The sequence below is a fragment of the Homo sapiens genome, chromosome 2 (assembly GCF_000001405.40).
Source record: "Homo sapiens chromosome 2, GRCh38.p14 Primary Assembly".
NCBI classification, from domain to species: Eukaryota; Metazoa; Chordata; class Mammalia; order Primates; family Hominidae; genus Homo; species Homo sapiens.
The window spans coordinates 112,582,937-112,598,447 of record NC_000002.12 but is presented as its reverse complement, the minus strand read 5'-3'; the positions used below and the strand labels follow the sequence as shown (position 1 = coordinate 112,598,447).

Here is a 15,511-nt window from a genome sequence, read left to right as displayed (position 1 = left end):
CAATCTTGGCTCACCTCTGCCTCCCGGGTTCAAACAATTCTCCTGCTTCAGCCTCCCGAGTAGCTGGGACTACAGGCATGTGCCACCATGCCTGGCTAATTTTTGTATTTTTAGTAGAGACGGGGTTTCTCCATGTTGGTCAGGCTGGTCTCGAACTTCTGACCTCAGGTGATACGCCGGCCTCGGCCTCCCAAAGTGCTGGGATTATAGGTGTGAGCCACTGCGCCTGGCCTACATTTTCTTTTTCTTTTTCTTTCTTTTTTTTTTTCTTGAGAGAGAGTCTTGCTGTGTCACCCAGGCTGGAGTGCAGTGGTATGATCTCAGCTCCACCTCCTGAGTTCCAGCAATTCTTGTGCCTCAGCCTCCTGAGTAGCTGGGATTACAGGCATGCACCACCACATCCGACTAATTTTTGTACTGTTAGTAGAGACAGGATTTCTCCATGTCGGTCAGGCTGGTCTCAAACTCCTGGCTTCAAGCGATCCACCCACCTCAGCCTCCCAACATGATGGGATTACAGGCATGAGCCACTGCACCCAGCCTAGTTCTACATTTTCTTGTCAACATTAGATATTATCAGACTTTTTAGTTTTTGCCAATCTGAAGGACCAAAAATCTCACTGGAATCTACACTTCTCTAATGGTTAGAGAGACTGCATATTTTTCCTTTCCTCTTTTGTGAGTTGCCTGTTCCTATTGTATCACTGAGGTTTTGCTGCTGTAACAAATAACCACAGTATCTCAGTGGCTTACAACAAGAAGCATGTAGTTCTTGATCATTTAAATGAGGACTGAGGTTGACCTGTAGCTCTGCTCAGTTTCTATTCTCATTCCTGGTCCCGGACTGAATGAGCATCATCCTCTAAGGCCATTCCCACAACGTAGAGATGAAACACAAAATGCAAAGCTACAAGATGCATGCCATTTAAAACTTCCGCCCAGATGTGGCATATGTCACATCTTTTCACCTCTCATTGGCTAACACAAGTCTCACCAGCCAGCCCTGGCTATGGGTCAGAGAAGTACCCTTCTCCAACAGAGTATGTGATGAAGGTGGAGGTGGGAATGTTTAACATTGACACAGGGAAAGAGTTGATAACTCTTTATGTGATTATTATCTACTAAACGGTTCCACTTTTTTTTTTTTTAATTATTTTTGAGACAGAGTTTCGCTCTTGTCACCCAGGCTAGAGTACAATGGCATGATCTCGGCTCACTGCAACCTCTGCCTCCCGGGTTCAAGTGATTCTCCTGCCTCGGCCTCCCAAGTAGCTGGGATCACAGGCATGTGCCACGACGCCCAGCTAAGTTAATACAAACATGGTCATCATGTTGGACAGCCTGGTCTCGAAATCCCATTTATTTATTTATTTATTTATTTATTTATTTATTTATGAGATGGAGTCTCGTTCTGTAGCCCAGGCTGGAGTACAGTGGCATGATCTTGGCTCAATGCAACCTCTGCCTCCTGGGTTCAAGCGATTCTCCTGCCTCAGCCTCCCGAGTAGCTGGGATTATACGCATGTACCACCATGCCCAGCTAATTTTTGTATTTTTTAGTAGAGATAGGGTTTCACCATGTTGGCCAGGCTGGTCTCAAACTCCTGACCTCAAGTGATCCATTTGCCTCAGCCTCCCAAAGTGCTGGGATTACAGGCACGAGCCATCGCCCCCGGCACACAAGCCTTGCTTCAAGGTGATTCCACTTGGTATGTGATTCTCCTCCATAAACACAGGTTATAAAGTGTTCCCTCTATGAACTGAGATTCTCTCTCTGACTTTGATCTAATATAGACAAGTAGAATGAAAACATGGTCTGGCTGACACTTCCACTTCTGGCATCTCTCCAAACTGAGGTGGCCTTGATACCTAAGAAAGCCCCATGCTGATGGCAGCCCAAGGGGAGCAAGGTCAGGGAAGGCCTCTCCCTGTTAGGAAGGACATTCACATAATTTTCTTCCTGTGCACAGTGTGAGTCTCAAAAAAAAAAAAAAGACTCTCACTCTGTCGCCCACGCTGGAGTGCAGTGGCGTCGTGATCCCGGCTCACTGCAACCTCTGCCTCCTGGGCTCAAGCAATCCTGCTACCTCAGCCTCCCGCATAGCCGGGATTACAGGCACCTGCCACCATGCCCAGCTAATTTTTGTTTTTTTAGTACAGACGGGGTTTCACCATGTTGGCCAAGCTGGTCTTGAACTCCTGACCTTAAACAATCAGCCTACCTTGGCCTCCCAAAGTGCTGGGATTGCAGACGTAAGCCACCATGCCCAGCCTGAATTGATAAATTCTTGAGAGATGGGAAACGGCATTCTTTAATGAGAATTTTGGATATAGGGGACACTAATAGAAACTAACAAAGTGCTTTCATAAAATTCCCAGATGCTCAAAGAAAATTTAAAAGTCGAGTTAAGATCCATAAAATATGCATGCCCAGGCTGGGCGCGGTGGCTCACGCCTGTAATCCCAACATTTTGGGAGGCTGAGGCAGGTGGATCACGAGGTCAGGAGATTGAGACCATCCTGGCCAACATGGTGAAACCCCATCTGTACTAAAAATACAAAAATTAGCTGGGCGTGGTGGCGCGTGCCTGTGGTCCTAGCTACTCAGGAGGCTGAGGCAGGAGAATCGCTTGAACTCGGGAGGTGGAGGTTGCAGTGAGCTGAGATTGCGCCACTGCACTCCAGCCTGGGCAACAGAATGAGACTCCACCTCAAAAAAAAAAAAAAGTGCACGCCCACAACTGAGTAAAAGACAGGACTGTGATCAGGAAGTGCAGAAAATGTTAAATTTTAATGTCAGGGGTTAATTTAGAAAACATTGGCAAGTGTTTTCTCCTTTTATCATACCTTCCCCCTTTCTCATCTTTGCTGCAGATAAGGTCAAGTTCAGGGACTGCAGGACTTAAGGGGTAGGAGGTAATTCCTTCAAAACAAAAATGAAGGCAGGGTGTGGTGGCTCACGCCTGGAATCCCAGCACTTTGGGAGGCAGACGAGGGCAGATCACTTGAGGTTAGGAGTTCTAGACCAGCCTGGCCAACATATTGAAACCCCATCTCTACTAAAAATACAAAAAAATTAGCTGGGTGTGGCGGTGCATGTCTATAATCCCAGCTACTCAGGAGGTTGAGGCAGGAGTAATGCTTGAACCCGGGAGACGGTCCTCGCAGTGAGCCAAGACCATGCCATTGCACTCCAGCCTGGGCCATAGAGTGATTCTGTCTCAGAAAAAAAAAAAAAAAAAGATGAAAAGAAAACCCTTCTTTTCTCCTGCTTTGCATCTGCAATGGTGCAGGAATCCACAGATGTAACTAGACGTAACTGATGAATTGCAAGAAGTTAGAAGCCTGAAGAATGCAGCCGACATGAAAGGCTTTTATTCATACAGGTGATGTGATCTAAATGACTGACTGCATATTTAGAAAATAGGAAGAGTGTGAGGGACGGCAGCAAGGGTGAAGAATCGCCCCTCACCAGACAAGACTACAACAAAATTAACTGAGTCCTCATTTCAGCTTTAAAATAAACAAAAGGGGCTGGGCATGGTGGTTCACTCCTGTAATCCCAGCACTTTGGGAGGCCAAGGCAGGCAGATTTCTTGAGCTCAGGAGTTAGAGAACAGCCTGGACAATATGGTGAAACCCCATCTCTACTAAAAAGACAAAAATTAGCTGGGCATGCGTGCCTGTAGTCTCATCTACTCAGGAGGCTGAGGTGGGAGGATCATCTGAGCCCAGGAGGTGGAGGTGGCAGTGAGCCGAGATCACATCACTGCACTCCAGCCTGGTCAACAGAGTGAGACCCCATCTCATAAATAAATAAACAAACAAATAAATAAAATGAACAAAAGGGGAACTGTATACCCAAACTATAAAACAAAAATTAAAAAAAAATGAAAAGGGGAATTGTAAATCCAGGCTTAAGATGGAGTGAGGCCTTCTAAGAAAAAGAACAGCAACAACAATAACAATACCAAACCTTCTGCAGGGGCAGAGTGCAAAGAAATGGTGGTGAGAATGACAAGCTGGGGAAAATAATGCCTGCTGCAATTCCGGACACATTGGGACTTAGTGCTCCCTTTGAGACATCTATATGAAGGTCCATGGCAGCAGGTGGAAGCCCAAGGCAGAAGCCAGGGCTGGAGATAACCATCTGTGAACCAATGACTTATCTGATATTCTCTAGGAAGGAGATCACTGCACAGAGGAGAGAATAAGAAGAGGCCTGGTGTAAGCCTTGAAGAAAATCATTATGTCACGGCTGGGTGGGAGAAGGTGGTGGCATAGCCAGAGAGCTAGGAGGAAACCTGCAGAGTCCATGTAAAGATGAAAGAAGAGTAGAAATGTGGAGGGCCATTAAAAAATTATTCTGACAGTTGTTAAAACAGTATAGAAAATTGTACTCAAGACGACTGTCCCTGTCTCACTTCCCACTGCCCTAGTAATGCTTACTGGGATCAACCTCTAATTCTCTGTCCCAGGGTCTGTTTCTGGGGGAACCTGAGCTAAGACGGTGCATCATGAACCAAGGATTATGATTCAAGCACATATGGCACATTAACAAAAGCTGAGCATATGCCAAGCCATAAAGGCTCGACACATTTCAAAAGATTAAAATCATATAAAATGTTCCCAACCCAATTGCAATTAAGCAAGATACCTAAAAAAAAAAAACCTCCTTATGTTTAGAAATTAAGAAATACGACTCTAAACTTCTAAACAATCTGAGGTCAATGGAGAAATCAAAAGAGAGTAGAGAAGGGAAAATAAGGAACAAAAGGAGGATTGAAAGACAAAGACATCCAAGGAGCAGGACTACTATAGGCAGAGATGGCAAGAAGGAAACGTGACTATTGGCTAAGTTACAACAATGCATTCATGGGTTTTTGTTGTTATTATAGTTATTTTATCTTCTATTTTGAAGAATGATTTGTTATTTCTTCACAGTTATGGGACAAGTCAAATTATATATCTTGAAAAAAAAAAAAACAAAGTCACGCTTTGTGGCAAATTTAAGTGTATTAGAAAAGAAAGCCGGACACGGTGGCTCACGCCTGTAATCCCAGCATTTTGAGAGGCTGAGGCGGGTGGATCATGAGGTCAGGAGATCGAGACCATCCTGGCTAACATGGTGAAACCCCGTCTCTACTAAAAATACAAAAAATTAGCCGGGCGTGGTGGCGGGCGCCTGTAATCCCAGCTACTCGGGAGGCTGAGGCAGGAGAACGGCATGAACCCGGGAGGCAGAGGTTACAGTGAGCCAAGATCACGCCACTGCACTCTAGCCTGGGCAACAGAGCACAACTCTGTCTCAAAAAAAACAAAAAAACAAAAACAAAAAAAGAAAAAAGGCTGAAAACCAGTGAGCTAAACATTCATTTCAAAAAGGTAGAAACAGACAATTAAATCTAAAGAAAGAAGAAAATAAGAGAACTAGCTGGACGTGGTGGCTCACGCCTGTAATTCCAGCACTTTGGGAGGCCAAGGTGGGTGGAACACGAGGTCAGGAGTTCGAGACCAGCCTGGCCAACATGGTGAAACCCTGTCTCTACTAAAAATACAAAAATTAGCTGAGTGTGGTGGTGGGCACCTGTAATCCCAGCTACTCAGGAGGCTGAGGCAGGAGAATCGCTTGAACCTGGAAGACGGAGGTTGCAGTGAGCCAAGATCACGCTACAGCACTCTAGCCTGGGCAACAGAGTGAGAAGAGAACTAGTTAAAAACAAATGTACAAAATAAAGTGTCAACAAAGCCAAAAGTAATTTCTGTGAAGATTAACAAAATTGATAACCCTCTCTCAAAATCGATTAAAAAAAAAGGAAGAGCATACCAATAACCAATGTCAGAAATGAAAAGGGGGTTATCACTACAGATTCTACAAACCTTAAAAATATACTATGAGGATATTATTAACAAGTTGATGGCAATTTGAAAATGTAGATGTTTGTTTTAGTCTATTTTCTGTTGCTATAACAGAATACAATAGACAGGGTAATTTAAGAAAAAGAAAATTATTCCTTATAGTTCTGGAGAGTGGGAAGTCCAAGAGCACGGTGCCTGCATCTGGTGAGGGCCTTCGTGCCACATCATAACATGGCAGAGAGCGTCACATGGTGAAAGGGCAAGAGCAGACCAGTTCAGGTCTTTTTTCCTTTTCTTATAAAACCACCAGTCCCATCATGGTGGCCCCACCCTGATGACCTTGTCTAATCTTAATTACCTCCCAAAGACCCCCACCTTCAAATATCAAAACTGACACAAGAAGAAACACTATGAAGTTGTTGCAGTAATTTAAATATAGGCACAATTTTTTTGCAGCCAAATGCTATCAAGAAGTAAAGTCTCCCCATCTCTTTAATCTCAGCTGGGCTCATGACTGCTTTGACCAATAGAATGTGGTAAAAGTGATGTCTGAAGTTTCCATTTTCACTCTCTTGGACCCCTGAGACCATCATATAAAGAAGCTAGTCTAGCCTATTGTAAGACAGGACACATAGAGATGTTCTAAAGTGTAGTCTGGATCTCCATTTTGTCTGTTTTAATCACACTTCTTTTAGTTGCATGGCATAGAACCCCACTCAAGCTTACTCAAGCAAGTGGAGTGGGCTGAAAACATCCACCACAGCCCATGGAAACTAGAGATGGAAACAAAAAGCCACCAGGATCCAGACCCTTTCAGGGACAGGAACTTGCAGGGAGCCAAAGGCCTGTGGGATGTGACCAACTCAGCATTCCACTGGGGCTATATGATCAAACAGCAAACTGTTTACCATTAATACAGAATGTGGACAAACTCACTTCTGTGCCTGCCCCAGAAGGTTTGATGAGGGCAGTCGCTTCCTGGCGCCGAGCTCCTTGAGGTTATCTACTGCGACATCTAGGGAATGCAGTCTTGCAAGCCTACTCTGGACAAGCTGACCTCTTCTTCTACCTGCCTTCTCGCTATCTCTTTTGCCTAATAAATACAGAAAGCTGTGTAAAGCTCAGGGCCCTTGTCCACTAGAGGCAAGGTGCCCCCTGACCCCTTCTTCCAAATATACTCTTTTGTCTCTTGTCTTTTATTCCTGCATTCGCCACCCTTTCTTCAGTCCACCAGGGATTGTGGCAGGTTACAGGAACTGATCACAATTCTCTCTCCACTACCTGGGTTTCCTCCTAGCTCAGACAAATGGTATAAAATCTTGCAACCCTGAACTTACAGGATTTCTACCCGGCTCCTAAACCAATGAACAACTTCCTTTGTCTTGGAGATTAATCCCTAGGAGAGACTCCCATAGGCCAGGCTCATTCTTCCAAGCCGAGCATAATCCTTGGGTATCAAATGGCCAGTTACTCCAATTTCCAGAGGTTTGGGATCACCTCCAGGGAGGAGGGCCTCGTCTGAATGGTGAATGTGGGTGCAGGCCATGGGCATGCTCAGCTCAGCACTCTGGGGTCTCCTCCTCTATTGCATACACGCCTGTCTGCTTTCTATTCTTTAGGACCAGTCCCTACTGGGGAGCCTGTATCAAACAGCAGGAGCCTGTATTCCTGAGAAGCATGAAGAAGCCACAGCAGCCACTGTTGGTACCTGCCCAGATCCACTCAGCATCTCTTCCGCAGGTTTAAGGCTGCTCACTTGATCCCATTATACTCTGCTTACGGCCCTCTTCTGATGGCAGAAGTGAACTTGGCCTATAAAGGGCAGGCCAGAAGTACCAGTCAATGCCCATGAAAATACCCCTTAATGACAGATGGGAAGTTGGTAGATAACACAATTCCCTTGCTCCTTGATAGGGTAACTGGGTTATGTTCTATAAAGTCCCCCACAGGTCCCCAGTGGGACTGAGTCCCAGTTGCCCAGAGTGGTAACTCGCTTGATAATGCACCTTTTATTGGCTGCCTTCCTCTCTATTGTCTCCCTTCTCCATTCCTCTATCAGTGTTTCTGGAATCAAATTCAAATTACCATCTGCACTCAAATTCTGAGTTGGCTTCTGGAAAACTGGAAACTAAGAACAGAAATCCAGTGCATAGACCAGAAGCGGTGGCTCACACCTATAATCCCAGCACTTTGGGAGGCTGAGGTGGGCAGATCACCTGAGGTCAGGAGTTACAGACCAGCCTGACCAACATGGTGAAACCCCGTCTCTACTAGAAATACAAAAATTAGCCGGGCATGGCGGCCGGTGCCTGTAATCCCAGCACTTCGGGAGGCTGAGGCGGGCAGATCACCTGAGGTCAGGAGTTTGAGACCAGCCTGACCAACATGGTGAAACCCCATCTCTACTAGAAATACAAAAATTAGCCAGGCATGGTGGCGGATATCTGTAATCCCAGCTACTCAGGAGGCTGAGGCAGGAGAATTGCTTGAACTCAGGAGGCAGAGGTTGCAGTGAGCCGAGATCACGCCATTGCACTCCAGCCTGGGCAACAAGAGTGAAACTCCGTCTTGAAAAAAAAAAAAAAAAAAGAAGAAAGAAAGAAAAGAAATCCAGTACATGGCCTTCTAAGCCATACATCCTTCCATGTGGTTGTTTTCAATAATAAAGCCAGTATTTTCATCTCCATTGCCTAATGCCTCTGTTGCCCAGTTGATTCTGAATTCAGCAGGGAAAGACGCATATTATTTATCACCCCCCAAGCCTCCAGAAAACTGAAAACAGATTTGGAGAATGCAGCCAGGCACTGTGTCAAGTGCTTACGGTAGTGCTAGCTACTGTGGAGGCTGAGGCAGAGGATCACTGGAGCCCAGGAGTTCGAGGCTGCAGTAAGCTATTATCGCACCACTGTACTCCAGCCTGGGCAACAGAGCAAGACGTTGTCTTTAAAATATATATATAGGCTGCGCGTGGTGGCTCACGCCTGTAATCCCAGCAATTTGGGAGGCCGAGGTGGGCAGATCACGAGGTCAGGAGATCGAGACCATCCTGGCTAACACGGTGAAACCCTGTCTCTACTAAAAAAAAAAAAAAAAAAAATTAGCCAGGCGAGGTGGCGGGCGCCTGTAGTCCCAGCTACTAGGGAGGCTGAGGCAGGAGAATGGCACGAACCCCGGGGGGCGGAGCCTACAGTGAGCCGAGATCGTGCCACTGCACTCCAACCTGGGCGACAGCGAGACTCTGTCTCAAAAAAAAATAAAAATAAAAATAAAATAAAAAATATATATATTAAAAAAAAATAACAATTTGGGGAATGCTAGAGTGGAAGGGATTGAGGGTCTTTACCCCAGGCACATGCAGCAGAAGTCAGGAAATGGCTGTGTGGCAGAGTTCACAAGGGAGGCAGGGTAGTCTCAACCCTGGGGCACAGCTGCAGAGTCCTGTTCTTCCCAGGCACTTCCTTGGCACACCCGGTGAAGCTGGGGAACAGATGACTCTGCCCAGCCAGCTCTCCTAGGACCCTCTCAGGTACGGATGGCAGGAATCAAAGCCCAGTATACAGAGTCTTTATTTATTGGAAGTCCTGATATCCAGGAAAGCCGGGCCCATGTCCAGGGCTCAGGACTCCATCTGGCCACTCTGCAGGGGAGGGGCGTGGGGGCAGTCATTCATGTCCAGTTTTCCTGCCGTCAGAGGAGTCCTCAGGAGGCAGGAAGTGGCTGTGCCTGTGGAGAAAGTACATCAACATCTAGTAGCACCTCCTCTGTGCCCAGCCTGGGGAGCCTATGTAGACACCACAGAGGGAGACCCTGCAGAGCCCACAGTCTGGAGGGAGAAGGGTGTTGGGCAATGACCTTGGCCCTGAGCCATGTGAAAAAGTCAGCTGTGGTGAAGTGTCATGGGAGGCAGGGAACGCGCCATTCTGCTATATTTACTGAGCACCTGCCGTGTACCCAGCAGGCAAAACTCTCTGACTCAAGCAGGGAGAGACGGACAATAAATATGTCAACATCCAAGAAATTCGATGAAGAAAATTTAATCAGGGTAAAGAGCAGAGGTGTGTGCGGAATGGGAGGGACATGTACCACTTTGATTGTCAGCCACAAAAACACAGGACATTCTGTAAAGTCTGTATGCCATGCTGCAGGAGATGAGAATGTTTGTGTTCGCTATTGTGTAGACCAGACAACAAATCTCACTGCCCCTAGCTAGGAAGGAAAAACTGTAACTGGGATGCCATCCCCAGGAAGGAGGGGATGATGAGGAGATGTGACCTAATTCCCTTTTTTTTTTTTTTTTGGAAGACAGAGTCTCGCTCTATCGCCCAGGCTAGAGTGCAATGGTGCAATCTTGGCTCACTGCAACCTCTGCCTCCTGGGTTCAAGCAATTCTCCTGCCTCAGCCTCCCAAGTAGCTGGGATTACAGGTACCTGCCACCACACCTGGCTAATATTTGTATTTTTAGTAGAGATGGGGTTTCACCATGTTGGCCAGGCTGGTCTCAAACTCCTGACCTCAGGTGATCCACCCACCTCGGCCTCCCCAAGTGCTGGGATTACAGGCATGTGCCACCGCACCCGGCCCTAATTCCCATTTTTAAAAGCTTCTTTGGCTGCCAGGGAAGAGAAGACTGTCAGGGCAGGGGTGGCCACAAGGAGACCAGAGAGAGGCTGGTTGCTGGTCCAGGGAGGGAAGCAGCAAATGGCTCTAAGATAGGAGGATGGGGTCTTTACTGTTCAGATGCCCAAAAAACTTGAAAGACAGAAATGTCCCCAGCAGCTGACTGAGAACAGTATGTGATCGTTAGGTAACGTTTCCTGAGGAGAATTAAGTTCCTTCCGGCTCTCAGGGGTCGTAGTTTCTGCCCTAGGGGTCTGAACTATTCACTTATCCTTGCCTTACAGAAACAATTAATGCCTATAGGGCCTGGTAAGAAGGGCATCACCCCAATCTTCAGCCAAGAGCTCCCTTGACACAGGCATAGGATGTGAGCCTTGATGGAGGGGCTCAGGGACCTTGGGAACTTGAAGACAGGGGCGGGAAGTGGGTGGGACATCAGGGAGGTTTTCTGAGAGACGTGCCGTCTAAGCTGGAATAGGAATTAGCCAGGAGATGGATTAGGAAGGGCAGTCCCAGCAGAGGGAAACAGCTGGACAAAAGCAGCGGAGACGTGCACTTGAGTAACTGCATGTTCACTGGGGCTGGAACATAGAGCTTAAGGGGGAAAGAGAGGAGAGGTGGGACCACGGGTCGCAGGGACTGCATCCCACAGGGCCCTGTGGGCTGTGCTGGCATTAAGACTTGGGCTGGTGGAATTGAGAACCATGGAAAGGTTTGTAAGTAGAAGCAGAACATGGTCAGATTTCCTCTGAGATCAGTCTAGGATGATCACCAAGAATGACTGGAAAGTCAAGATGGAGCATGGGGCCCAGGAGAAGGATGGCCAGGTGGCCCAAGAGAGAAGCCAGGGCTGCAGGGGCAGAGAGAGGGCCCCAGGAGAGGGTACTCACAGGGGCTGGGGAAAGATGTGACTTTCACCTTTGGAGCTCACAGTCCAGTGAGGAGGGTAGTAAACATCTAAAAGAGCATTTTTCAACCTTTTTCCGTTACTGCCTCTCCTCAAGGAGTCATTTTAGACTTTTGTTCTAATTGCCCAACCATGAAACTTACATATCACAGATATACTGTATATCTGGTTTACATATTAGATACATTTAAAAGAGTGACCTTTTTTTGGCCACCCCAGCCCAGCCCCTCTGCAGTTGCAGATGAGGAGTAGTGAGAAAGAAGAGAGAGGGTGAGGCAGGAGGCAGATGAAGTCAGCCTAGGGAAGAACACAGAGAACCCAGCAAGGACCTGGACTTTTGTTCTCAATGTGACACAAAGCCACTGGAGAGCTTTAAGCATAGGTGTGATGAGACCAGATTTCAGTCCTTACATGCTCACCCAGGCCGCTTTATGGAGGCAAGAAAAGAGGGAGGAAGGGAGACCAGGGAGAAGGCTGGGGCAGGTATCCTGGAGGTGGAGGGTGAGGGTGGTGGTGGATTAAAGCAGGGGCTATATGGGGCAAGAAGTGATGATGTTCTGGATTCTGGATGCATGGCAAAGGCCTGTGTGGTGATGGGGTGGGGCTGAGGATGACTCCAAAGTCTTTACCCTGAACAACCAGAAGGATGAAGGGGATGTTATGGAGAAAAGAGATGAACTGAGGTGAGCCCCTCTTACCTCCACAGTTGCAGGTGAGCGTGGCGGCTGCACCTGCTCAGCGCACTGCAGGAAGCGGCGCATATGCTCTGCACAGTTGCCCACAGCTGCCTCGTTCTGTCGAAGACACTCCTCGAAGGCCTCAAAAGGCTGAGCACAGGCCTGGCGGATCTGGCGGATGATTGGGCTGTGGGGGTAGGGCAGTTCAGCCCCTGGGAGATTCCCACCCCACTGCCCACCCCCCACACTGTCTCATACTTGCCCGCACTCACTGGGAGGATGTGCACTGGGCAATGCTCATCTTAAGGTAGTGACAGTCCCGCTGCCAGGATTCCGGCTTGGCCGCCACACACTGGCCATACTGCTCCAGCTCCCGGCCACAGTAGCGAGCGGTGACCTCTAGGGCCGCCTGCCTGTGGGACAGGATGGGCTGAGGATCATTCCAGGCAGTAGGCAAGCAAGGGAATTCTTTTTTTTTTTTTTATTTTTTAGAGACAGGGTCTCACTGTGGCCCAGGCTGGAGTGCAGTGGCACGATCATAGCTCACTGTAGCCACCAACTCCTGGATTCAAGTGATCTTCCTGCCCCAACCTCCTAAGTAGCTGGGACCACAGGCATGAGCCACCATGCCCAGCTAATTTTTTATGTTTTGTAGAGACAGGGTCTTGCTATGTTGCCGAGGCTGGTATTGAACCCCTGGGCTCAAGCGATCCCCCTGCTTAGACCTCCCAAAGTGCTAGGATTACAGGCATAAGCTATGGTGCTCCGCAAAGAAAGGGAGTTCTGGTCTGGGTCTGAAGTAGGACTAGGAGTTCAGGGCAGATGTGGGAATCTGAAGGATCCTGAGATGGTGCCAAAGAAGTGGAGAGGTGAGGCCCAGCCCTGGGGCTTGTAAAGCAGGAGGGGAGCTTCTGGGGAGAGAGTGGAGGTTCTAAAACAAAGTCTGATTAATGTAAGGTAGGCCTTCAGGGTCCTAGAAGACAGGCCTTGAAATCCAGGCATCCCCCAGTAGGCCTGGGGATCATGCACAGAAGACTTGGGGCCTTAGAAGAAAGATCTAGAATTCCAGGGAGAGCTTGAGAGCCCTTAATGGGTTTGGGGGTTCTAAAAGTGAGGTTTAGAGCTCCAAGAGGTGGGGTCTCAGGTCCTGGGGAAGAGTGTCTTAGCCAAAGAGTCTTCAAGATGAAACCTAAGGCCCTGGTGCGGGACTCAAGGTCCCAGGGGCGTGAAGTCTGGAAGCCCTGGATGAGGTTGGTGCTCTGGGAATCCTGGGCAAGGTCAGAGTGGTCTAGGAACAAGTCTGTGGACCCTATAGGTGAGGACTGGGGTCCCAGGCAGATCTGGAAGGTTCAAAAGGTAAAGTTTGGTGATCAAGGGGGAGGAACCTGGAGCTCTGAGGATGGGTGTAGGAGTCATAGAGGTCCCTAAATAAGTCTGTAGTCTTAGGATTTCAGTGTGAAGGCCGGACCTGGGGTACTGGGGGCAGAGATTGGGTGAAGAGTGACTGGACCGAAGTCCTAAGCAGCGCGAGAGGGGGCGAGGCCTAAACGCTTAGAGGGCGGGGCTTGGGCATGCGGAGGGTTGGAGCTCGTGAGCGAAGGCGCTGAATCCTGAGGGTCAGATCTCCAAGAAGGAGGGAGGCTGGTCCTAGTTCCCGAGGTCCTAGACTAGGTCTAGATCACTGGGTAAAAGAAGGGGAGCGGCAGCACGTATGGGGTAGGCGCTCTCACTACTCACATCTCGAGACCTTTGCCGGCGTAGGGCTGTCCGGGGGGAACGACCCGCCTTTTCCGGTATCGGTTGTCATGGCGGCGCCCAGCCCAGCCTGGTTTTTTCCGGTAGCCAATTGAACTAACAACCCCGTTCCCTTTAGGACTAATCTGTCACGGCGGCGCCCTACCTCTTCTTCCGGCCCGGCTCGTCATGGCGGCGCCCTGAGTAGCCACTTCCGCCCTCTTCTGGCTAAATTGCTTCATCCCTATTTCCGGCTTGCCATGGCAGCGCTCGGGGTTTAACGGAAGTAAGCAATGGAAAGTATGGTGGTGCCTCGGGTCCAAAGAGAATGCGCCGCTGAGTTGCGCGGCACCTGACGGGATTGAGCCTCAGACACAAGCGCTCCAAATCTCCGACTGTAGCTGGTGGGAAGCGCCTGCTGTTGCTGCAGCGTCTCAACATGTTGTTCCCATTTTCGTTGGGTGCTGTAGCGGTAGGCTGTTGGGCTCAGGGATAGGGGGCCTGATTCCTAACGCCGCGCTGCCACCATCGGCCTTGCGCAGACGCTGATAATCCCCCTGGCACCCAGGTTCATGCGAGCGCTTGGAACAGGAGGGAAGAGGGAGTCAAACCAAGAGCCGAACTAATTCGGCTTGGGCCTGCCATTTACCCAGCCTGGGACCCAGACGTTTCCCCATCCCTTAGCGTACGCCAGGACAGACATGGCGTTTAATCCTGACTCCATGAGACTATCAAGCTAGTTACTTCCTCTCTTTGTAATTAATTCCTCCTAATGTAGCAACATTTCCCCCTTCCTTCTCATCTGTCTTAAAAGTGTGAGGTTAGACCTGGGCGTGAGTTTCCCCACATAAGAGACTGGATATCCCCTGGTCAGAGAACTGAGCATCAGTCCTGCCGTTTCGTTTGCAGATCTTTCAAGACTCTAGTCAAAATGAGCAGAACATTTTGCAGTTAATCATAGAGTTGAAGATGAACGAGAAGATGAACGAGAGCTACTTGATTGTGAACTAGTAACGACCACTTGGAGTCGCAGTGTGTCTGTAAAATGATGATGACAGTGACATCATAGAGGACATAGTGCAAGTGAACAGTTTGATACTGAGCTTGGAGCCTCAGTAGTTCTGGATAAGTGAGAGCTGTACGGGAGGTTGTAACCATGAGCTACCCTGGTTGGCAGTTGACATCCGAGGACCAGCACTGGTCATCGCACAGAAAGAAAACTTTACACCTTGAGATCCCTCCATTCTTCTTAAACTTCCAAGTGTATGTTTGATGGGAGAAGAGGGGAAGGGATCAACATTTAAAGGCTCTGGAAGGAGTCAGATAACTGTTTTTGGCTTCAAATGTAGAATGAATCCCTAGATTTTCCTCTACTGAGAGAATGAAATCTTAACCCATTCCGTTCCCTTGTTGGTACTCAGAAACGGATACCCCAAAGATGCATTTTGACATGCTGAAAGGCCTTAGAAGCTGCCTTAGAAGATCTGTCTAACCTTGTCTTGTTGGTGTGTGGAAGTGGGAATGCCCACAGGTGCACAGGGAGGGAGTTTCTGAAATTATCTGACCGAGAAAGCAAAAAAAAAAAATCAATTGTCTTAAACCCGGTTTCTAGGGATCTCATTAAAGAACTAGGAAAAATTAACCACCTGTTAACAGAAAAACCAAACTGAAATGTTTTAAAGAGATTTATTTTGAGCCAATATGAGTGACCATGGC

The 15,511-nt window shown here is 48.2% G+C and overlaps 1 protein-coding gene and 1 long non-coding RNA gene across 10 annotated transcripts, besides 4 other annotated features; one reads left to right on the top strand and one right to left on the bottom strand.

The window, feature by feature from the left end:
• Positions 1 to 9,407: 9,407 nt before the first annotated feature.
• Positions 9,408 to 14,001, bottom strand: CHCHD5 (coiled-coil-helix-coiled-coil-helix domain containing 5). Of its 7 annotated transcripts, none has more exons than NR_163920.1 (4): positions 13,962 to 14,001; positions 12,324 to 12,474; positions 12,083 to 12,248; positions 9,408 to 9,582 (listed from the first exon to the last, which is right to left on the bottom strand). NR_163920.1 is itself a non-coding variant. In NM_001304353.2 (4 exons), the coding sequence occupies exons 2-4, from the start codon at positions 12,360 to 12,362 to the stop codon at positions 9,559 to 9,561; spliced, it is 219 nt and encodes a 72-aa protein (NP_001291282.1). In that variant the 5' UTR covers positions 12,363 to 12,474; positions 13,962 to 14,001; the 3' UTR covers positions 9,408 to 9,558. The 7 variants fall into 7 exon arrangements, 6 of the variants coding, with proteins under 6 accessions (NP_001291282.1, NP_001358252.1, NP_115685.1 ...); NM_001304353.2 differs by having other exon boundaries at positions 12,334 to 12,474; NM_001371323.1 differs by lacking the exon at positions 13,962 to 14,001 and adding an exon at positions 13,795 to 13,839 and having other exon boundaries at positions 12,334 to 12,470.
• LOC101927330 (uncharacterized) lies at positions 13,176 to 15,461 on the top strand. 3 transcript variants are annotated; one of them, XR_923204.3, is made up of 2 exons: positions 13,176 to 13,311; positions 13,935 to 15,461. It is a non-coding gene; the product is annotated as an uncharacterized LOC101927330 (long non-coding RNA). The 3 variants fall into 3 exon arrangements; XR_007087192.1 differs by lacking the exon at positions 13,176 to 13,311 and adding an exon at positions 13,633 to 13,677; XR_923203.3 differs by lacking the exon at positions 13,176 to 13,311 and adding an exon at positions 13,633 to 13,777.
• Positions 13,413 to 14,164: an enhancer, noted in NCBI's record as "OCT4-NANOG-H3K27ac hESC enhancer chr2:113341861-113342612 (GRCh37/hg19 assembly coordinates)". NCBI's record gives its function as "activates a minimal SCP1, AML or CMV promoter by ChIP-STARR-seq in primed H9 embryonic stem cells {active_cell/tissue: H9 hESC(primed)}" and the evidence as "EXISTENCE:reporter gene assay evidence [ECO:0000049][PMID:30033119]".
• Positions 13,413 to 14,630: a biological region, named in NCBI's record as "MED14-independent group 3 enhancer GRCh37_chr2:113341395-113342594".
• Positions 13,431 to 14,630: an enhancer, noted in NCBI's record as "MED14-independent group 3 enhancer chr2:113341395-113342594 (GRCh37/hg19 assembly coordinates)". NCBI's record gives its function as "activates an origin of replication core promoter dependent on BRD2, BRD4, P300/CBP and CDK7 cofactors, and independent of MED14, by STARR-seq in HCT116 cells {active_cell/tissue: HCT116}" and the evidence as "EXISTENCE:reporter gene assay evidence [ECO:0000049][PMID:35650434]".
• Positions 13,946 to 14,115: an enhancer, noted in NCBI's record as "active region_16394". NCBI's record gives its function as "activates an Ori minimal core promoter by ATAC-STARR-seq in GM12878 lymphoblastoid cells {active_cell/tissue: GM12878}" and the evidence as "EXISTENCE:reporter gene assay evidence [ECO:0000049][PMID:35858748]".
• Positions 15,462 to 15,511: the final 50 nt, after the last annotated feature.

Bases quoted from the DNA above. Each gene is read 5' to 3' on its own strand.
- CHCHD5 (XM_005263824.5), bottom strand. The intron at 12,249-12,333 runs GTGAGTGCGGGC...CTACCCCCACAG, and splicing joins GCCCAGTGCACATCCTCCCA to CCCAATCATCCGCCAGATCC.